The sequence below is a fragment of the Homo sapiens genome, chromosome 4 (assembly GCF_000001405.40).
Source record: "Homo sapiens chromosome 4, GRCh38.p14 Primary Assembly".
Taxonomy (NCBI): domain Eukaryota; kingdom Metazoa; phylum Chordata; class Mammalia; order Primates; family Hominidae; genus Homo; species Homo sapiens.
Window position 1 is genome coordinate 80069202 of NC_000004.12, and position 23245 is coordinate 80092446.

The 23245-nt window shown below is 39.4% G+C and overlaps 1 protein-coding gene and 1 pseudogene across 4 annotated transcripts in view, besides 5 other annotated features; one reads left to right on the forward strand and one right to left on the reverse strand.

Moving 5' to 3' along the window:
- The window catches only part of ANTXR2 (ANTXR cell adhesion molecule 2), a 172327-nt gene extending 168056 nt beyond the window's left edge, over positions 1-4271 (reverse strand). For 2 of the 4 annotated variants that reach the window (NM_058172.6, NM_001145794.2), the window contains exons 1-3: positions 3208-4028; positions 2382-2453; positions 235-306 (exon numbers count right to left, since the gene is read on the reverse strand). In NM_058172.6, the coding sequence (NP_477520.2) occupies positions 235-306; positions 2382-2453; positions 3208-3359 (296 nt within the window). In that variant the 5' untranslated portion in view covers positions 3360-4028. Of the gene's footprint in view, positions 1-234; positions 307-2381; positions 2454-3207; positions 4029-4193 lie in introns of those variants that run through there. The other 2 variants (NM_001286780.2, NM_001286781.2) reach the window with 2 other exon arrangements.
- Positions 3318-3477: a silencer, noted in NCBI's record as "silent region_15516". NCBI's record gives its function as "represses an Ori minimal core promoter by ATAC-STARR-seq in GM12878 lymphoblastoid cells {active_cell/tissue: GM12878}" and the evidence as "EXISTENCE:reporter gene assay evidence [ECO:0000049][PMID:35858748]".
- Positions 3658-3767: an enhancer, noted in NCBI's record as "active region_21652". NCBI's record gives its function as "activates an Ori minimal core promoter by ATAC-STARR-seq in GM12878 lymphoblastoid cells {active_cell/tissue: GM12878}" and the evidence as "EXISTENCE:reporter gene assay evidence [ECO:0000049][PMID:35858748]".
- Positions 4098-4377: an enhancer, noted in NCBI's record as "active region_21653". NCBI's record gives its function as "activates an Ori minimal core promoter by ATAC-STARR-seq in GM12878 lymphoblastoid cells {active_cell/tissue: GM12878}" and the evidence as "EXISTENCE:reporter gene assay evidence [ECO:0000049][PMID:35858748]".
- Positions 7148-8347: an enhancer, noted in NCBI's record as "CDK7 strongly-dependent group 2 enhancer chr4:80997503-80998702 (GRCh37/hg19 assembly coordinates)". NCBI's record gives its function as "activates an origin of replication core promoter dependent on BRD2, BRD4, P300/CBP, MED14 and CDK7 cofactors, with strong dependence on CDK7, by STARR-seq in HCT116 cells {active_cell/tissue: HCT116}" and the evidence as "EXISTENCE:reporter gene assay evidence [ECO:0000049][PMID:35650434]".
- On the forward strand, positions 10210-12169 carry KPNA2P1 (karyopherin subunit alpha 2 pseudogene 1; annotated as a pseudogene).
- Positions 12049-13248: an enhancer, noted in NCBI's record as "MED14-independent group 3 enhancer chr4:81002404-81003603 (GRCh37/hg19 assembly coordinates)". NCBI's record gives its function as "activates an origin of replication core promoter dependent on BRD2, BRD4, P300/CBP and CDK7 cofactors, and independent of MED14, by STARR-seq in HCT116 cells {active_cell/tissue: HCT116}" and the evidence as "EXISTENCE:reporter gene assay evidence [ECO:0000049][PMID:35650434]".

Below are 23245 nucleotides of genomic sequence, written 5' to 3' on the forward strand. Positions count from 1 at the left end.
AGACAGGGATCTAGATTTCACTGCACATTCCACAGCCACTATAAATGATATTGATTTTCAGATTAACTGCTCTTTTATATTACTCATACCTCCTTTCCCTTCTATTAGAGAACTGAATTGTCTGTGCATCTGCTTGATTCCACTGAGAGGCCTGAATCACCACTTGGAAATATCAATCATGCCTTTAAAATTCATCTCTACTAAAAGCCTGCAGTGAAATGATAATGCACTAACCTGTCTCCAGTTAATGGCAAAATAATAGTTGCTTGAGAAGAAAACACAATGAAAGATAATCTCATTTCAGGGCTGCAAAATAAGAAAAGAGGCAGTTAAAACATTTTTAAAAAGAAATATTGATACGATACAGATGTATAGTTAGGGAGGTTCATTTAAAATTGGTCTCACTGAATGGTCCAGGCTTCTTTTAAATGACATTCCCTAAGTAAATAGACGAACTCTGCTTAACATTGTTGCATAAGTCATTTTGGATTTAGTCAACGCTTCCCAGCACTCACATACTCCTCCATGACCCATAAGGACTTGCATTTAGAGAGAGACTAACTGGAAAGATAAATTCTAAGCTGATGTAAAATTCTTTCGTAGAAAATTCCTCTTCCCTTGGTTTTCTACAACATTTCCTTTAAAGGTGGCCAGGCCCTTCAAAGTGATTATGGTTATCAACACTTATGGGTGGAGAGTACCCAGTTTGACTTAATGACCATAACTATGATATGAGTCTATAAAAAAGTCATCCTGAAGTAAGACTACTTAAAGAGTCATGGAAAATGTGAAAGAAACAATAAATCACTTTCTGCTTAGGCATTTTTTATTTTCTAAGTCTCAAACATGCTATTTTCCATTGGCAACAAGTGCCCCAGTCAGCTATATCTTTCAAGTTTTAGGCATGTCTCTCACAGAACGGTTCTTGCTTCTCGGACACTCTCTGCAACTACTACTAAGATTCAAAACTGAAGATATGAAACTAGAATCTATAAACTGAAAATCAGAATCCTCTCAAAGGCTTATACATATTTTAAAAGTCAGTCTCTTCATTAGTCACCCCTTATTCACTTCCTACAATGTATTGTTAGTAATTGAGCAACTAGGCTTGAGCCAGACAACTGTGTATTATAGAATTCCAACTTAAAAACCAGATCAATGAGTTAAGATAAGAGCTTGCTTCTTTAAAATGTTGTAGTGATGTGATTCATTGCTTTTGATCAAAATCTACATGACACCCTTTTCACATTGAAGGATTAAATTAGAAAATTTATAAACAACTGTCTGTTCTGCCTTTGACATTTAGGGACATAGGATCTTGTTTGTTTTTCTTTCCTAGACAGTTTTACCTCAGACCCTGTCCAGAAATGAGTGTTAAACTTGGCTTCTTAAGCAAGGGACTGATGATTGAACATGGACAGGCATACATTTTTATAGGGATAACTTTACTGCTGCCAATAACTGAAAGCAAGGATTGCCTAGGCCTCTACAGATTGTTTGAAGTTACTTGCAACATGACTTTCAAAATGTTTTGATCATCCAAGCCTGTTTTACAGAAAACATTTGGGCTAACAAGACTGAAAGAAGCAATATTTAATGATACAGTTCCTATTCATGTCCTTTCCATTATCTTGATAAACTTGTGTTTGCTCATTGCATTTTTTCTTTAAAAAAAAAAGAAGGAAAAAAAAAGCCTCAAAAGCCTAGTGTCCTGAGGTTATTTTTAAATAGGAGATGCCACTAATTCCTAGTTACCTCTAAATAAGAGAGTAAGCTGGATTTCATACCAGTAATGCTTTTTATAGGAGAGGAAACCAGTCTTTCCTGGTGATGCTTATTGCATATATAGAACAGTTAAATTTTAAACCAACCACACACCCACACATTGTGTAAACACAAGTCGTTGCTTTAAACACACACACAAGTGCCTTTTCTGGTAGCGGGTTATTAACACATGTTCATTTGAAGTTTTCCAACACTTTTTGTTTGTTTTAATGAGGGCCTCTATAATGCTAAGAAATGTGTGGAAAGAAAAATATATTATGGATACTATTCGCATAAAATTTATTTTTTTAATGTGATAAATTATGAGAAAGCATAACTGAAATTCAAAACAGATGAAAATTCGGAAAGAAAAAGACATTTGGAATAGTATTTGAAGATGCTTCCCCAGAGTCTGAGCCAAGTTTCTGGGATCCAGATGAAATAAGCCCTCAAGGACTGAAGGGCTGTCCTAATAACAGCATGTGTGCAATACGACCTTGAGGCACTTAAAAGTAACATTTCAGGAAAAGTTTTTCCTATAAAAGGTTTCAGAAAAGGGAAATTCTACACTTTGCTCTACTTCTCCACTGCCTAGAAAAGTAAAGTAAGAAAGATACCTCACAAATCTCTCCGCAAGTTGCTGTACGAAATTATAAATTTCAATCCAGTTATTTGCCACACTCCCAGACCTGAAAGATGAAATTGAACTGATCAGAGAAACAAAACACGGAACTGAAAAGTAAACATTTTGAAATGGTTCCTTCTTCAATGCCACGAACATAGGGGCACCTGGCCTCTTTTTCAAGCTAAGTAAGGGTATCTGTAGCTGAAACTTTGGTGGTACCCAGAGTTAAAGAAGTCAGTCCCAGAGCAAGACTCCGTCAAAAAAAAAAAGAAGAAGAAGAAGTCAGCCCGTTTTCTGGGGTGGGTAAATACCTGCCTAATTGTTTAGAGTGGAACCCAGCTCTTCAGAGTAAACACAAAAGCCTTTCTTCGCAGGAAATGCAAACCACATTGGGCATGTTAACCCTAGGCTTTTCCTGGCTCCAATGAAAGCGCTATGATTAGGATAAAACCAGGCAAACTTTAGCCTGCGTACGAGCAGGGTCGAGGAGGTGGGTAAGGACTCTGTGGCCGATGGAGCGTGGCCCGCAAGAGGCCACACTCCCATTTCCCAAGAGGCCAAAAGACTGGCAAACAGTGAATACCCCAACTCCCCAAAGAGCCAAGTAGCCCGGGGCTCCAATCACTACCCCCGACCCGGCTGATCTCCGCCCACACAGATCCGAACGCGCTTGCCCTTTGAAAGAAGACAGCAACAGGGCACCCCTCCGCGGGTTTCCAACACCACTCCCCGGGGTGCGCACACGCATCTCAGCCTCAGCCCCAGCTGATCCAGTGCCGCCCTCACCAGGAGACCCTGGACCTCCCTCGCACACTCACTTGTCCAGGACGAAGTAGAGATCAAAGGCTCTTCTGCAGGAGGGCTGCTCCTGGGCGCGCAGCAGCCCCCCGGGACCGCTGAGCACCAACAGCCACAGCCCGGGGAACAGCCAGCTCCCGGGGCTGCGGGCCGGGGACCGCTCCGCCACCATCCTGCGGCCGGGGGCCTGAGACTCCCTCCCGCTCGCAGTCCCCTAAGCTCAGGAGGGTCGCAAAGGTGGCGGGAGTCACCCGGCACGCACTCTGGGGTGGGGGGCGGCGAGCAGCTGAGACGCCGGCGCCTGCGGCAGCGGGACCCACCAGCTGACAGGGAGGGAGAGAGGGAGGTCCTGAGAGGACAAAGGGAGTCTCCGCCACCGCCGCAGCTGCCGCCGGAACTCTTGACGAATCCCAGTGGAAGCGCGATCCAGTCCTCCCCCTCCCGATTCCGGAGAGTTCCTGCAGACAATGCGGGCCCACGGCGACAGCTCGCGAAAGGAGTTCCTCTCCGGCCTGGGGCCGAGCCTCCAGCGCCCGCCTCGGACCCGGACCTGGAACCCACCCCGCCTGGAGGGCTGAAGTCCCCCCCGCTGCCGTGCGCTTCGGGACAAGGGGTCCCTGGGACGCGGCGACGGCAGAACAAACTAGGAGTGGAGACTCTTCTCCTCCGGCGGCCCCAACTCCCTCCGCACTCCGAAACTTTCCTCCCGGTGCTGGACTCTGGCACTGCGCTGACAGGCCGTCCCCTTTAGGGGAGGAGGCTAGCTGGCCCTGGGACTCCCGGCTGGAGAGAAGCCACGCCGAGGGCAGGAGCCCGCTCGGGCCGGGTCTGGGCTGCGTGTGTCAGTGTGCGCCTGGGGACGAGGGCGGGGCCCCAGCTGAAGCCTCCGAGCCACACATGCACACTTGTGGGTTCCTGCCGAGTTGAAGATGACTAACGCTTGCCAGATTTGGGAAAGGGAAGAAGGAGTTTAGAAAAACAAAAGTTATCTAGAAACTAAACATACCCGTATGTCCTGCAGGCCTGGCCTATTTTAGCAGCTGTGCTAAAACAGCCCCCATGCGTGGTTCACAAACCCAAGACTAAGGATTCCATGGGAGGTGACGGCCTCCTCACTCCTCACTCCACCCCACCCCTACTACCACAAACACTCTTTATGAACTTCCTCTTTTTCTTCTAAAGAAACCTGCTTAGTTTTTTTTTTTTTTTTCTTTAAAAAAAGCCAAGCCAAGGAAAGGCCGGAGTGGGGAGTGGGAGGGGATAGCAGGCCTCTTTGGGAGTGGAAAGTTGTACCTCAAAATATTTCAGCCCACTGTCATTTCCCTGCAAGCTCCAGTTTTGGAGAATTTCAGCTTTGGGCAAGCTAGGTCTCCTTTGCAAAACTTGTGCAAGCACTCAAGTTTGTGCACAAATCCTCTGTCTACTAGTTCTGCTCTCCCTCCTCTCTCTTCCCCCCACCTCCGTGACTTCCGCCCTCCCTTAGTCAAAACTGGCTTTTAGAACCTAAATACCTTTTCATTTTTAACAAAATCAATGCTTTATGTAGTACTTACATATACATCTCTTCTGTTTGTTGCCATATGTATTTAACTTTTCATTTATTATATTTGATATACAACCAGATATGTCAGCTCTTTGAAGATAAAAATTAGTTACTTTAACAAAGATTCATTGAGTGCCTATTATTTGCTAGGCACTGTTCCAGAAGTGGAGGTTAGTGCACAGAACAAGATAACAAGCCCTTGCTTTCATGAAGCTGACAGTCTGGCTGAAGAGTGAAAACAGACAATAAGAAATAAATACATAAGCAAGGAAAAAAAATGTCCATATTGGAAAGGTGGCCTGTAGAAATTTAAAATATTGTGATGATAAAGAATGACAGACTCAGTGACTAACAAAAAAGACCCAGTCATTCCAAGAGCTCTAAGGGGAAACATTTGGAGTTACTGCAAAGGTCCATAGACATTAGCTTAGCATATTCAAAAAAGAAAAAAAAAAAACTGTGTAGCTGGAGCTTTGCAGGTAAGATGATGTAAGACAAATAGGCAAGGGCCAGATTATGTGATGCTTTGTTTACTGAGATAAGGAATTCAGATATTTAATATTGAGTGTGACAGGAGGTTATTAGAGGGGTTTAAGCCCAGGAGTGGAGTGGCAGATGAATTGATATGATCTGTGTTTTTCAAAGATCATTCTGGCTGCAATGAGACAATGAATTTGGAGTTAGCAACAGTGACAACAGGGAGAGCAGTTAGGAGACTATTGCAGTAGCAACATGTTGACAAACAATCCTGAGGTTCATAAATTTGGAAAGGAGAACTTCATTTCTTATAAAGGGTTACAGCTGCAGGCTGGACATCTTGACAGGCTGGGAAGTGTAGCCTCTGGCAGAGACAAAAAGCAGGCACTTTGAGGGAGGAAAGGGTGGAACAGGAATTTATGCTAAATGAGTTGGCCAAGTATACATATTCAACAGGTTATAGGAGGAACTATGAATATTTCTGAAGCAAGGGGTACATGAACTATGCATATTTCTGAAGCAGGTGGGTTAAGTTTCCACATCAAAGTGAACATGGGACATATGCAACATGCATGTTTAGTAAGCAAACATGAATAGTAAGCAAACATGCAAGTTGCATATGTCTCATGTTCACTTTGAGGTGGAGACTTAACAATTAAATGTATTATAATTAGGCCCTATATGTCAAAAGGTGAAACAGAAGACATGAAGGCACTCAGTGCCACAGCCTCTGTAAACCAGCCAGAACCAGTCTATGGTCAGTGGTCTCTTATCAGGAGAGTTATTAAAATCAGTCTCTTGTCCAGTCAGAGCTGTAGTTATGGCTTGTGGAACAGGGGTAGGGGTGGAGGATTAATTAGTTAGTGTCTTGCAGTCAGTAAGATGCAATTGTTTCAATATTGCTTATCTGGAGGCCAGTGTTTGTTTAGATGCTAGAGAAAAAGAAAACCCTTTTGGCAGTTAGAATATAGTTTATTTTTTAAGTGTAGGAGTGTGTGACTTGACCTTTGCCTGGCATGGTCTTAGGTCTTGTTTATAATTTGGTGTCTTATGAACACAGAGTACATTCTGTCAGTCTTATCATCTCTATTTTAACAAAGGCAAAATAAAATGGTACCTTGGACCATCATCACTATAGCAACTAACCTGAGAATTATGAATGGATGAAAACTTCAATATATACCGGCAGACCTCCATTTTGAAAATATGCTCATTACAAATGTCAAACATTGAATGGAGGGTGGCTAACATCCCTTCTCACTCTTTGCCAACTGGTCACTTGGGGATGGAAATTCCACCACTATCAACTGCATCAATCTGCCACTTTTTACCTGATGGAGTGAGGAAGATACTGAGGGGCAAGGGGCTAGCTAGATGGAAGATAACTTTTACTTTTGTAAGAAGGAAACATACAGCCTTCATAATTTTCAAATAATTAAGCACTAGAAGCAAGTCCTTAATTAGTCCTGAGACTAATTAAGAAAGTCCTTAAAGCACCTTAATTCTGTCCTCCTTGGCTTCATCTTTTCTTGAGGTTCTAAAATACTGATTACTTCTGCAGCCCTCCAGTCTCCAGGTATGTGTTGCCACTTCTCATTTCACATTTTGGTCCAACCTGAATACATAAATCTCCCTGACTTCCCATAAGAGAACTGAAACAGGCTGACATTTTCAGGAAATTTGTATCAACAGCTTGTTCATCTTTCAAGGTTTTGTATTCATTGCTGGTTGAAACTGGTTTCCATTTTCAACTTTAATCTTAAGACAGAATCAAAGATATTATATGCCACATCAGCATGTTATTGAATAAAATCTGGGGAAAAAATGTATCCCCCCAAAAAAGTGACAATTGGTTTCATGTTAGAAGGAGACAGAAGGCAAAGAAATATGAGACATGATACTAACCATGTACTCTGTCCTCCTAAGGAAGTATTTTAAACTCACATTTGTTGGTTTCCTTTATCCCTAGTCTTGACTAATTACCTGCTCATCTTCTGGGACTTCCCAAACTGGTCTAAGAATCCATCTTGTCCTAGGTTCAAACTAAAGCAAAATACCTCAATTTAAAACTCATTCTTCCTCAAAATTTCCAGGCCTTCTGAGAGTACTCCCACTCAGTTCTTCTTTCTTGAGTACAAGGCTGGCAGAGAATATTGACATACCAGAAAAATAGTAGCACTTTTTTGTTTATCTGTTTGCTTGGGTAAAGAATTCATCCCAGTCCTGGAGCATTTTGCATCTCACTGACTTGCTCATGTAAGATCTACAGCAAAGCAAAAAATGGCCTCAGACCAATAACTAATCAAATCACTTTCATTTAATAAAAATTAATCAGAAGATCATTAATTACTGGGGCAGCCAAGTGTCCTAATTTGTCACAGACTGAGGGGTGTCTTCAGTCTCATGGACATGGGACTTTCCATGCTAAAACTAGGGCAGTCCCTGGGATAGTTCCTGGCAAGCAAAACTGTTGGTCATTCTTTTCCTAAGCAATAATGAGGGAAGATGAAAGCAAAAGCAGACATGAAAATCTCTCCAAGCCATGAAAAAGAAGTGGTAGCAACAGCAGTACTTTCCCTTCTTCATCAGTGAGAGCACTCTGGGAATTGTATCAGCTGGAGAATAGCCAGGTAAGGTTTCAAACTGACTTTTGTACCATGACAGTCATGCTGGGACCCTGCTTAACTTTCAATCTGACATCAAGAATGGGAGGGATAATGCAGATTTTTTAAGAGAGAGAGAGAAAAAGAGACTCTATACTGCATTATGTAGGTAAATAAATCTAAAAAAGTCTCTTTTATCAAATTATTTGTATTTCCACTGAATTATTTGGCTTTACAATCCATGAATGCCCCCACTCTTTGAAAATTATTCTTTGTATTAAATCAAACTTCTTAATAAATAAATAAATCAAACTTATTAATAAAAATGCTAATGAACCCCAAAACATGTTAAATTCATTTTAATGCAGTTAGAATAGCTTGAGATTGACACTTGATGATTTAAAGTCTTCACTAGACCCCCCTCTCATTGTCCTTTTTTTCCTACCTGCAGAGCTCCAATGGACTACACGTTAAATTATATTTAATTACTTATTTACTGGTCTTTTATTATACTTAATGAATGTTTACTGATACCTACTATGTATCAGGTAATGTTTTAAGCACAAATGTTAGACTTTCTATTCTCAAGCAGTTTGCGTTTTCAATCTCCTGTCGTGAATTTATTTCCATCACCCCATACCCCAACAAATAAACTAACAGAAAGGCAAATAAGCAACGACAATAAAAGTATTCTTTATGTGTAAAAAATTATATAATCTATATTATTTGCAAGTAGACATCTTTTGTGGCATACACGACTACAGACGTGACTCTCCCGGAAGTTGAGTACCATACTGAAAATGATTCATATTCATGTCACATGGGAAATGATTCATTATATGATATCTACAGTGATTCAGAGGAAGAAAATAAATCTTCACTACCTATAAGTGATAAAGCTTATTTCAACTTTTATCAGGCATAGTCATTAAAGAACTAGATTTCGTCAATGTCTGAACTAGTTCCTGAGAGTGAATACAATGCCTTTGGAAGGTGCAATTGCCTCTAAATTAATATCTCTATGTATGACAATAGGGGGTGCTAACTAATGTTAGAGAATGATTACTAACATTTGCATTTGGGATCAAATGTGTCTCAAATTGAGTTTCTCAGAAACAGACTTGAGATTCAGAAATTTGCATGCAGGAGATATATTGAGGCATGCAGCAAAACCTCAACGAAGGGATGAGGGAAGCAGGAACTGTCAGAGAGAAACTTGAACCATGATGGAATTCCGAAGGAGGCTTCAGGCAACCACCAAAGGTAACTCTGGAGCTGTGATAGCCTTTCATAGTTGTCCTGAATTGAGTGAGACAAGGGAGCCAGTGTTTGTTACCCCTCATGGATCACTCACTAAATGTGGGCTTCCACTCTACAGGGGAAAGGCATAACCTTAAGCAATGGCAGCTTCTTTTGACTTGGGGCAGTTATGAGGAGGGACTCAGTTGTGAGCTGTCAACAGCAAAATCCTGGCTGTGGGGAAATTAGTGTTTCAGCCCTGAAGGAGGAATCTAGGTGATGCAACTACAGCACCTACAACCACAGCATCTAGAATATCCAAAAAAGGCCAAGACACCTGGCAGCTAGTTTGTTGAAAGTCCTATCTCATGTGCAATGTCAGACCTTCACAAAGCAGCTCAGGCTTGGATTGGCATCCTAGAATGATAAAGTCATGTAACTGCATCACTTCTCTCATGCCTTCTATCTTAGCTCTGGTGCAGGTCAGTTTCTCAATTCTCGAAGGAATTGCTCTAACAGTATTCTATTCTTCCTATACCTTCTCCATATTTCAATATAATTAGTCCCCTGAAGCATAAAACCAATCATATTAATCACCTACCTAGTTACTGCAATGGAATGTGGTTTCCTAACAATGGAAGGCCCTCCACAATAGCATTACAACTTAGCTTTGTATCCTCACCTCAACAAGTCTAGTCCCTTCATATACTTGATGCTCCAGAGAAACCTTGCGAGTCACTGTTCCCCTCCTATGCACAAGTATATCTTTTGGATTTACCTCGTTTTGTACTCACATTTCCCTGATACTGTGTTCTAGGTGTCAAATGCTATCTCCTCTTTCTCTTGCCTTCTATTCTCACTGAACAATTCAGGTCAAAAGCCATTAGGTGGGCCAAGCACTGGGTGCTAGGGTGGTGCAGAGCTACAGTAAAGTAGTCCCAGCAATGTGCCGAAAGCCAAGCAGGGCGAGGAGAGTGTCCCCATGGTGCAGGGAAGGACAGCCTGGCATGGAGCATTGGAGACTGAGAAGGGTGAAGAAAGTGTCTACGTGGGAAGGTGGCCCAGCATGAGGAATAGAGAAATAAGCCAGTGAGCAGATTACCTGGTGGTGGGAAGGAGGTGACGTTTCTGACCCTAATTAAGATCAGGAGGACAACACTTCTTTGAGCTGAGTCGAAGTGGACGCTTTGAGCGTAGCCGCCCCACAGCCGCCGATCCCTGCGTCGCTTCCTGTAGAACCCTGGGCCTGCTTTGCAGCTTTCCTCCCTTTGTCTCACAACCATGTCTACCAACGAGAATGCTAATATACCAGTTGCCCGACTTAACAGATTCAAGAACAAGTGAAAAGACAGTACAGAAATGAGGTGTCGCAGAATAGAAGTCAATGTGAAGCTGAGGAAAGCTAAGAGGAATGACCAGATGCTGAAGAGGAGAAATGCAAGCTCATTTCCTGATGTTGCTGCTTCTCCGCTGGAGAAAAACCGCAAAAACCAGGGCACTGTAAATTGGTCTGTTGATGACATTGTCAAAGGCACAAATAGCAACAATATGGAAAGTCAGCTCCAAGCTACTCAAGCTGCCATGAAACTACTTTCTAGAGAAAAACAGCCCCCCATAGGCAACATAATCTGGGCTGGTTTGATTCCAAAATTTGTGTCCTTCTTGGGCAGAACTGATTGTAGTCCCATTCAGTTTGAATCTGCTTGGGCACTCGCTAACATTGCTTCTGGGACATCAGAATAAACCAAGGCTGTGGTAGATGGAGGTGCCATCCCAGCATTCATTTCTCTGTTAGCATCTCCCCATGCTCACATCAGTGAACAAGCTGTATGGGCTCTAGGAAACATTGCAGGTGATGGTTTAGTTTTCCGAGACTTGGTTATTAAGTATGGTGCAGTTGACCCACTCTTGGCTCTTCTTGCAGTTCCCGATATGTCATCTTTAGTATGTGGTTACTTATGTCATCTTACCTGGACACTTTCAATCCTCTGCTGCTACAAGAATCCTGCACCCCAGTTAGATGCTGTTGAGCAAATTCTTTCTACCTTAGTTTGGCTCCTGCATCATGATGATCCAGAAGTATTAGCAGATAGCTGTTGGGCTATTTCCTACCTTACTGATGGTCCAAATAAACGAACTGACATGTTCTTGAAAATAGGAGTTTTGCCCCAACTTGTGAAGCTTCTAGGAGCTTCTGAATTGCCAACTGTGACTCCTGCACTAAGACCCATAGGGAATATTGTCACTGGTACAGATGAAGAGACTCAGGTTGTGATCGATGCAGGAGCTCTTGCTGTCTTTCCCAACCTGCTCATCAACTCCAAAACTAACTTTCAGAAGGAAGGTACATGGACAATGTCAAACATCACAGCTGACCCTCAGGATGAGATACAGCAAGTTGTGAATCATGGATTAGTCCCGTTCCTCACAATGTTCTCTCTAAGGCAGATTTTAAAGACACAAAAGGAAGCTGTATGGGGCCATGACCAACTATACCAGTGGTGGAACAGTTGAACAGGCTGTATACCTCATTCATTGTGGCCTAATAAAACCATTGATGAATCTCTTAACTTCAAAAGATACCAAGGTTATTCTGGTTATCCTGGATGCCATTTCGAACATCTTTCAGGCTGCTGAGAAACTAGGTGAAACTGAGAAACTTAGTATAATGATTGAAGAATGTGGAGGCTTAGACAAAATTGAGGCTCTACAAAACCATGAAAATGAGTCTGTGTATAAGGCTTTGTTAAGCTTAATTGAGAAGAATTTCTTGGTAGAGGAAGAGGAAGATCAAAATGCTGTGCCAGAAACTAACTCTGAAGGCTGTACCTTCCAAGTTCAGAATGGGACTCCTGGAACGTTTAACTTTTAGATCATGTAGCTGAGGTATGTATTTGTTGTGTACTATATTTGGTATTTTGTCTTACTGTTTCTCTACTAAGAACTCTTTTTAAATGTGGTTGGTTATTGTAGCACTTTTTACACTGAAACTATACTTGAACAGTTCCAACTGTACATACTGTAGGAAGCTTGTCCTCTGAATGGGTTTCTTATTTCTGTGTGGAATTTCTTATCTTGCAGCATCCTATAAATAAACAATAAAGTCCACCCTTTACTTCAAAAAAAAAAAATCAGGAGGACTTCTGCATGGGGGAAAGTTCACTGTGGAGTATTTGGAGCCCAAACATGGACCTCCATGCAGGGGGTCATCCCCACGCAGGGTGTCAGAGGATGGACAGGGAGAGAGAGAGTCAACACTGGAAGGCAGAAGCTGTCTCAGGATGCCAGAGCATGAGAAGAGTGAGTAGGGCTGTTGCAGCAGAGCACAGGGTACAAGAACCCAAGCATTTGAAGAAGAATTCTGGTCAGGGAGAGAGCACAGCTGAGGTATATAAACCCAACCAGGGTAAGGGGGGCTTCAGGAAAGAGAGAAGCTTGTCAAAGGAGTGACTAACAGACTGACACCCAGCATAGTGTGTCATAGCCCAGGCGGGTTGCCTAGGTGGCAACCTAGTGCAGCGTGTCAGAGCTTGAGAGAGAGAAGGAAAGGCTTCGACATGGAGGGAAAAGGTATGTGAAGCCTGAGGCCACAGGTAGAGATTCAAGCAAGATGAGGAGGATGTCCACCCAGGGTAGGAAGAAGCAGCTCGTGACTGGGGCCAGATCCTGAGTGAAAGTGCAAGGTGGTGCTCATGTCAGAACTTAAGCAGAATGAGAGAATCTGTGTTGGAGAGGGCAACAGTGGTGATGAGAAATTGGTTCACTCAGGAAATGCTTTCATTCCTTCAGGCTGCTCTAACAAAATACCATAAACTACATGGCTTGCAAACAACAGAAATTTATTTCTCACAGTTCTGGAAGCTGGGAAGTCCAAGATCAAGATGCGAGCAGATTTGACATCTGATGAGGATCGTCTTCCTGGTTCATGGTCAGCCATCTTGTCACTGTGTCCTCAGATGGCAGAAGGGGCAAAGCAACTCTCTAGGACCTCTTTTAAAAGGACACTAATCCCATTCATGAGGGCTTCACCTGCATGACCTCCCAAAGGCTCCAGCCCAGATACTATGACATTGGGGATTAGGTTTCAACATGTGATTTTGGGGGAAATATAAACTTTCAGACCATAGTGAGGGATTAAGTCAAACTAGTATAGATAATGGGAGTTACCGTCAGAGAAGAAAGCTGTAAATAATGAAATTGAAAAATCTAGAATAAATCCTGTGGTGCTAGCTTGCAATTGGAGATATTAGTGTGAATTCATACATATAATTACAGATATAGATGTGAGTATATGTGCAGATGCAGTAGTCCTTCCCCCTTATCTACAGAAAATATATTTCAAGTCCTGCAGTGGTTGTCTGAACCATGGATAGTACCAAACCTTGTATATACTTGTTTTGCCTGTACATACATACCTATGATAAACTTTAATTCGTAAATCAAGCATAGTAAGAGATTAACAACAACTAATGATAAAATAGAATAATTACAGCAATTTACTGTAATAAAAATAAAACAAGGGTTCCTTGAACACAAGCATTATGATACCTATACTAGGATAGTTGATCTGGTAATCGAGACAGCTACTGAGTGACCATTAGGCAGGTAGTATATACCGGGTGGATATGCTACACAAAGGGATGAGTCACCTCCTGAGAGGGATAGTGCAGGGCAGTGTGTGACTTCATCAGGCTACTCAAAACAGTGTTCAATTTAAAATGTATGAATTGTTATTTCTGGAATTTTCTATTTAATATTTTCAGACTGCAGTTGACTGTGGATAACTGAAACCCCAAAAAGCAAAACCAAAGAGACTGCTATGTGTATATATGTAAAACACAGTATACACAGTATATATATGTGTGTGTGTGTGTGTGTGTGTGTGTGTGTACATGTATATGCAGATATATAGCTCTGTCTACTTAGATAGACTGAGAACAACAGCAGCAATGGGCATACATGATGCTTATTTCTTGGTTTTAAATGTCACTCTCCACTGAAGCGAACTAGGAATTCTTAAAGATATGTTTAAATTCAAAGTGAGTCAGGAATCTATGAACTTAGAATATCTTGTCCCAGAAAGTAAGAGGTATTCAAAGAATGATGGGGCATGACCAAAAGTTGTAGAAGTCAGATTGAAGAGCTCCAATAAGAAAAATCTAGGATAATATTTGCACCAAAATGAAACAGTTCAATTAGAAAATGAACAAAAGATATAAACATATATTTCACCAAAGAGGATATACAGATGACAAATAAACACATAAAGTTATTCAACATTGTTAGCCATTAAGAAAATGCAAATTAAAACCCAAAATAAAAAATAGTGATAACAGCAAATGCTGATGAGAATGTAGAGAAACTGAATATCTCATACATTGCCAGTGGAGATGCAAAATGGTACAGTTGTTCTGGAAAATAGTTTGGCAATTCCTTTAAAAACTAAAAATGGACTCACCATATCACCCAGCAATTGCATTAGTGGACATTATAGAGAAATTAAAACTTAGGTTCACACAAAAACCTGTATATAAATGGTCATAGCAGCTTTATTTATAATATGCTCAAACCAAAAATAACCCAATGTCCTTCAGTGAGTGTCTTAATTTGTGCCACTATAACAAAATACTGACTGGATAATTGATTAAATATATATATTCCTCACAGCTCCAAAGACTGGGAAGTCCAAGATCAAGGTACCAACAGATTTGGAGTCTGGTGAGGGTTCTCTGCTTCAAAGATGGCCCCTCTTGCTGCATCCTCACATGGCAGAAAGCGGGGCAAAAAGGGCTGAACTTGCCCCCTCAAACCTTCTTATAAGGGAACTGATCCCATCCCTGAGGAAAAAGCCCTCAAGACCTAATCACCTCCCAAAGGCCGTGCCTCTTAATACCATCAGTTTAATTTCCAACATATGAATTTTGGAGAGACACGTGCATTCAAACCCTAGCAGTGGGTAAATGATTAAAGTGTGCTACATCCATGCCATAAACTATTCCTCAACAGTGAAAACGAACAAATTATTGACACATGCAACAACTTGGGATCCATCTCAAGGGAAGTATGCTGCATAAAAAGCTAATCTCACAAAGTTATATGCATTATTATTCCATTCATATAGTGTTCTTGAAATAATATTATAGAAATTGAAATTAGATTAGTGGTTGTCAGGGGTTTTGGATTTCGGAGGAGAGGACATAGGGGTGGTTATAAAGGGGTAATTCAAGGGAACCCAGTTTAATGGAACAGTTCTGTGTCTTGATTGCTTTCATGGTTATATGAAGTTACACAAATAATAACATTGCAGATAACTATACACACATGTAAAATTGGTGAAATCTGAATAAGCTTTGTGAATTGTAGTAATGTCACTTTCCTGGTTTTGATTTTGCAGTATATTTATCTAAGATGTTACCACGGGGGAAAACTGGATGAAGGATTCTCAGGGCCTTCCTGTATTTTTTTTTTGTAATTGTCTTTGAATCTCTAATTAATTCTAGATTAAAAGTTTTTAAAAATGAATGGTAATAGAAACAGATTATAATATATTGGGTAAAATAGAAAACCATGAATCCATACAGATGTAAATAAATATATGAATAAATTCAAAGTTTTATATAGAACAGAACATTACATAATTTATCTCCACAAAATACTTATGCATGGCAAAGAGAAAAAAAGTAACTTTACATAGGATAGGCCTCTCAGACATTACCTTAATCACGTTATCAAAATTGACATCACCAAAATTGGTACAAAACTAAGTTATATTCTATTTGATTGGTTGTAATAAGAAGAATACAAGATCACTTTGGTAATATTCCTGCTATAGATGGATGAAAAAGCGTCAGGTATACCCAAACTGAAAGCCATTCTACAAAATAACTGACCTGTATTCTTCAATGTATCAAAGAAAAACTGAACAACTGTTTCGTATTAAAGAAGACCAAGGCGATATGGCAATTACATGTAATATGTGATTTTGGACTGGATAATTTTGCTCTAAAGGACTTTATTGGGACAACTGGAAAAATATTGTGGTTACATGAAAGAATTCCTTTTTTGATGAAATAACACTGAAGTAGTTGGACATGATGGGCCATTATGTCAACAACTCATTCTCAAAAATGGTTCAGGAAAAACTTTTTTTGTACTTTACTTGCAATTTTTCTGTAAATTTAGGATCATTTCAAAATTTATATAGGAAGAGGAGACTAAGGAATAATGACAACAAAACGTAGTATGGTATCCTGAATTTGATTGTGGAACAAAAGAAGTCTATTTTAGGGGAAGTTTGGTGAAATTATAATAAAGTGATTTTGTTAATAGTATTAACTAGTGCCAATACTATTAGAGTAGCATTGTACCAGTGTTAATTTCTTAGTTATAACAAAGGTACTATGGTTATGTCAGATGTTAATGCCAAAAGGAATTCTCTAGTGTATTTACAACCCTTTTACAACTCATACAGGAACTCTCTAGTATATTTACAATCGTTTTAAATCTAAAATTATCCATAAATTAAACACTTATTTAAAAAAATTAATACTGTTCAGGCTTCAAGTTCCATTTCATGTAGTCAAAATACTATTCACCCTCTAGGCTTATTTCATATACCCTCTCCTCCATATAACTATTTCAATTCATCATTACTGCTAGTCAGTTAATTATCCCCATTCCATACCCCCAATTTCAGCCATAAAAGTTTTTGTTTCATTTACATTATAGTATTTTCAGATAGTTATTATCAATCTGTTACTAATTTCTTAAGGATAAGAATTGTGATTTACTAGAAACGTATGATAGAGGTTTTACTAAACATTTGCTGAGCTGTGTTACTGCAGAAGGCTGGAATACTTTTTTGAGTATTTAAATTCTGTCTAAAGATTCTGGAAAGGTGAAAATTCTTTATGAAACCTTACCTAATTGCTTCAGTTCACATTGGTCTTACCTTTATATCTCAATGTATCTTGTAGCTATTCTTCTCATAGGTCCTTGATGTATCTTGACACCACTTGGTTCATAACCCAGTTTTTAAATTCTAGCCATTTTGCTGCTTATCAGTACCCCAGCAGAGGGTGGGATGGATAACAAAGAAAGTAGAAAAGAACTGGTGACTTAAACGGTGGTCATTGTGGATGAATTCATTAATACTGATACAACTCTCCTCTAGGATGACTTTCTACATGTTAGAGAAAGCTTTAAAATGGACGTTTCCTAGACTGCCCTACAGGTAGATTTCATCATCGTTTGGAATCCACCCAAATATACTCATGCCAGATTTTGAATCAGAACCCAATTACATGAGGGTAGAGGCAGGGTATGGAGTGTCTTTTTTGCTGCTTCAGAGGCAGTGCATGGCAGAGCGAGCACCTCCCTTGCCAAGGGTTGGAGTGTGGATTGGGGAGTTGTTCCTGAAATTCAGTCCTCACTCTTCTTCTTCGGCAATCCAAATGAATCTGAGTTATTTATCCTTCTTAATACATTCCTTTCATTTAAATTAGCTAGAATAGATTCTGTTTTTGAAAGACATTGACAGGTCTTAATCTTCTGTAATCTCTAGGAACTTTAAATTAGTCATTTTACTAGCAGTTATAATTACAATAAAAAGTTATTAATGGAAGGGAAGAGATAAGTAACTGATTTTTTAATTATCCATGGTATTCACTTGATATTATTCCTCTCCTTGGTAAACTTGGATACTCTGAGGTGGAGGCAGGGAAGCAAAATTAGATTTAAAAGGAAAAAGAAGGAGGAGGAGGAGGAGGCAGAGATTCAATAAACTTCTGCGAGATTTTTGCAAGACAAGTAAAAATCTTTTCAGCTACCTAAACACAGAACACAGAAGTAGGGATTTTAAATTTAAAAAAATCAAAGAATGAGATTGATTACAGACAGCAAGGGACAGCTCAGAAGGGAGACAAAACAAGTTACAGCTAAGAATGATTAAAATTGCAAAGGATATAAGCAATCTTTCAGTATCCCACTCCAGATTAAACAAATAAATTGCATATTTGTATCTACTGCTAATAGGTTACAATACAGAATAACTTAGAGGAATTTAAATTATAATAGAAACGTTTATTTTATATGTTGTGATCATATAAAACTTGGAAAATAAAAATAGAAACAAAGTCAAATGACAATTTGTAGTTTTTTAAGGTGCTTCTATATAAATTGTCTTTTTGATAAACACATTTTTGTTTTTTAACCCGCTATCTTTTGATGCTGAGTGCATTGAAAATTTACAGTATTCAAAAGAAGTGATAAATGTTTGAGGTGATGGATATCTTAATTACCCTGGTTTGATGATTATATGGTGTATGCTGAACCAAAATATTACCCATACCCCATAAATATATAAAAACATTTTATATCAATTTTAAAAATTAACGGTATTCAATCCTAATTCCTCCTAGCCATCATCTTCTTCAAAAGACACAAACAAATAAAATGACTGAGCTATCCTGGGAATGGTACCTAAATGATGATGGTCTTAGCCAATGCATTCAGCTAAGGGAATTCAAGGTTGGCTATCCTTTTTCCCTTGCCTGAAATCTACCATGGGAGAAGGGTGGCTATCTTAGTCCATTTTAAGTTACTATAAGGGAATATCTGAGGCTGGGTAATTTATAAAGAAAATAGGTGTATTTGGCTCATGGGTATGCAGGCTGGCCAAGAAATATGGCACCAGCATCTACCTAGCTCCTGGTGAGGGCTTTTGTGTTGTGTCAAAACATAGAAGAGAAGGTCAAAGAAGATGTGAACACAGGCAAAGAGCATCCAAACCCGAGAGATGTCCTGGCTTTACAAAAACCCACTCTTACAGAAACAAATCTATTCCCTTGAGAACCAATTCCATCTTGCAAGAGTAATAACTCAGTACCTGGGGAACAGCACTAAGACATTCATGAGGGAATCTACCCGCAAGACCCGAACACCTTCCACTAAGCCCCACCTCCCAACACCACTGGAAATCAGGTTTCCACATGAGATTCGGTGAGGAAAAACAACCCATGTCCAAACCATGGCAACACCCTGCAACTATGTCTTCATCACTTTCAAAAAGAAAAAAAAAATCTCCTTTAGTCTAAGCACTAATTTAAAGACTTTGTAGGCAGCATAAAAGAGAGAAAACTTTTTTTGCTTATTTCTAACTTGTTTATATAACATTTTTAACAGTCACAGTTTGTCTGCTCCAAGATATTTAAGCTTTAGATATTTAACTCCTTTTTTAAGATAAAAAAGTTTGAAATGTAATTTTGCTCTTTGGAGTGACTACCATAAGTACTACAATTAAAAAGATTTTTTATATTTTGGAGGCCTTGTGTTTCTCATGGAAACCACTTGATTAGTGCATATCCAACTTTATTTTAACAGCACATATGGCACATAGATTATCTATCCCAGTTTTCTTGGGAAGTTCTTTGCAAGGAGCAGTAGGAAAGTTGTCAATCCCCAAATGGCCAATGGGTTTCATATGTAGCAAATTTGGCTGGCAAAAATACCAACGCAAGTTCAACAATACTGGACCACAAGTGCCTGAGGATATTTTTTAAAGATTAGTAAATCAGGGGTTTGCTTTTGACCCTGATCTTTATACAGAGTTAACACTTCTTCATCAAACAAAAGTGTCTTTAATTTGAAGAAACTCATTTTTACAAATTTTAAAAATTTATTAATCATTTAATGCCTGCTCTCTGCAAAGCACTGATCTGTGCTTTTTGGAATATGCAAAGTCTAGCAAGTGAGATATCCTAGTTGGATCTTCTAGTTACTGAGCTAAGCTACATTTAAAAATAACCATAATACAAAGACTGAAATGATGTGATGGAATGCAATACGAATTCTGAAGAGGGAGAAACCACTTACACTTGGAGAAATAAGGGTTTATGAAGGACAGGGAATTTAATGTGCATCTTGAAGGATGGGTCATGTTTTTAAGATTATCACAGGTGAAGGGAAGAAAACACCCTAGAAAGAAAAAGCATAACCAGTTTCTAGCTGAGGATGGGAGTTGAAAGGCTGACATCATTACTTGAGATAGGGAAAAAGGCACCCATATTTTTTTAAAAAGGTGCACCCCTTTAATTACCTTCTCACCTCTCTCATAGTATTACCTGTATCAAAGTCTTACTATTGTTTTAATCATGTATTTTATTATGCTTTTTCCTGTATATCGCCATCATACACTTAACAAGCAGCATGACAACATATTACCTTAAAGTTAATGTAAAGACACCTCTTATGTAAACTATACTTGGAGAAACACCAGTCTTCCTATATCCTCCCCCAGCCGCATCCCAGGGAACAGAAGCATAGAGCAGTGAATGTACAGAGTACCTAATGAACACAAAAAGAACCTGAATTTCAGTGGAGCCCTGAGTATGTGAAGGGTGAAATAGAAAATAAAACTGACAGACCTGGGTAAGGCCCAATCTGTAGGAGCCTGTAGGTCAATGCTGCCTGCTATCTGTTTTTGAAAGAAAAAAAAATGTTTATTGGACATAGCCATGCCCATTTGTTCATATACGGTCTGTGACCACTTTTGTGCTACAGTAGCAGAGCTAGATAGTTGAGGCAGAGACCATGTGGCCCACAAGCCTAAAATATTTACTATGTGGCCTTTAATTTTAAAAGTTTACCAAAGTCTACCTTAGCTAAAAACGTTTTAGTGTGCAAACATTTTTGTGTAGACAAAATAGATACAGTAATAAATTTAAATGGCAGAGGGGTTTGAGCAGAGCTGTTCTTTTAGAAGAATCATCAGGTTGCTGTGGCAAGACAAATTAGAGGTGAAAGATGAGGAAGAGCTGAAAGCACTTAAAATTATTTTTTAAACATGTAAAATTTACTATTATTGTATTGCTTTTTATTTTGTGCTCAGTGAAATATGAAAACCTGGAAGGATCCAAAAATTGTACATTTAAAAGCAGAATCACAAGAATGACACTGAGGGTGGGAAGGCAAGGGAATTTCCATGCCTCAGAGAAGTGTGTGTAGTCTGAAGGTCAGCTGTGCCTGGAAAAGCAGCAGAGACTGGGCGGTGGTTGTACATGAGACAGTGGATGGGAAGGTTGAGACAGAAGAGCCCTGGGGGAATCTCACTGTTGGAACAGTGTCCCACAAGGTCATGACAGTAGATAATGAGCCTGCCACTTCTAAACCAAAGTTTTCAATTCAATCCATAGGGTTTACCCACAAGAAAGAAAGAAATTTGATTTTAGTAACAGATGCCAATGTGAACTAGATAAATACTAAAGGAAACATATTACTAAGCTAAAAGGGTCCCATGGAAACTACAGAGGGGGTCATAAAGGACTTGTGGATGAGACTGGAGTCTAATGCAAGACCCCACACCTGACACTGAGAGGACATTTCCTGGAGATGATATGCTGGGAAAATTCCTCAAAAGATGTCTTTCACAAGAAGGGCCCTTGGTTTATGAAGAGTATGACTGGGAGAACAAGATTTACTTTCCAAAAATGCTACTTACAAGCTAGTTTTTTGGGATGTCTCAGTTCCATACAGTACAATATCCGTATTGCTTATGCTGATCATATTCCCATCTCCTCTCTGTCCAAAAGATTTTGCTCTCATGTTAACCACAATTAGACTAAGAAAAGGCTGAAAATGACTATAATAATTATTTTGAAATTATAGTAAACTTTTTGATTGATAATCTAATGAAATAATATAGAGAAATAAAATGCAATGCATGGTCCAACCAACCAGCTGTTGTTTTCGAAATTCTGACCTTGAAAATTTGTATTTTAAAGGTGTTCATTAATGATTTCTCGTTTGTGGTACAAATATTAAATATAAACTCAAGGAGCCAAGTAGACCCAAGCATCAATATGTAGAGTCTATTGCAGATAAATTCAATGTACCTTGAAGTGAGCAGTTTAAAACTCATTGAATTTCTGATCTTTGAATTAATGCCTTTTTTGCTCATACATGATATAGTACGAGAAGAATCATGTGGCAGTCAAAACTATTAGCTAACCAACTTGATATTTTCACCATTCATCATTTCCTTGACACTTCTATCGAAATGGTTTTCCACCCTGAATTAACAGTCAAAACAGAGGACTTCACATAGAATTTTAAACTGCATTCATGTTAGATGGTATCATAACACAATACCAAACTCATGAGATCAAACAAATAATTTATCTTTTCCCTGATGCAGACTTAAGATGTGTATCATCCCTTGTAACTGGTAATATTTTTACACAAGTAACTTGTAGGACATAAAGTACATTGACATTTTTTATACATAACTCTATGCTGGGATTTAAACTGAAAGCTTGTTCCATCGGGAAACAAGGCAAAAATTGTTTTTAAGTCTTCTTGCTGTGGCTTAGTAAGAAATTCAACAGTGTAGACAAAAAAATTAACTGTCTAAACTAAATTTCTGAAGAAATATAATAAAATATTTGCAATCACCCCTGTGCTAAAAGCTGGGAGCTATTCCATTCACAGTTTATGAGGAGGGTGGACCCTGTAATTGTGTCTAATATTTAATATTTAATACTCTTGATCCTAATGATTTGGGCAAAAGCTTTGGAGTTTTTTTTTTTTTGGTATTTTTTCTCTCCCTTTCTGTCACCCTGTCTTTCTAATTTTGCTGACTTGACACCAGATTTATACACATGTATCTCTAAAACATCTGTCTGTGATCACATATATGCAGATTAATCACCTTCCATGGAACAATAGACACTGGTGCCTACTTGAGCGGGAGAGTGGGGATTGAAAAACTACCTATTGGGTACTGTGCTCACTACCTGGGTGATCAAATCATTTGGACACCAAACCCCAGCCTCATACGATCTACCCATGAAATAAACCTGCACACGTACCCACTGAACCTAAAATAAAATATGAAAGATGAAAACAAAAATCACATCCCATGCATTAGCCTTAGGATGTGCTTCAGAAAAAAACTTCTTTGCATCCTCTTCAGATTAAACATTTCTTTAGACATCCCTCAACCTGAAGCTCTGTGGTTGGAGCTTCTATGGAAATGAGGTCATCTGATTCTCAAAATTACTTTCTGAAAAAGGTATAATATCTTCTAGCTGAGAGAACTGAGTCCCAGAGAATCAAATGACTTGTACAAGAGTTAGAACACTGCAAAGCAGGAATTTCAGTGCAAATCTCTTGATGGACGCTGCATGTAGTTTTGTTTGT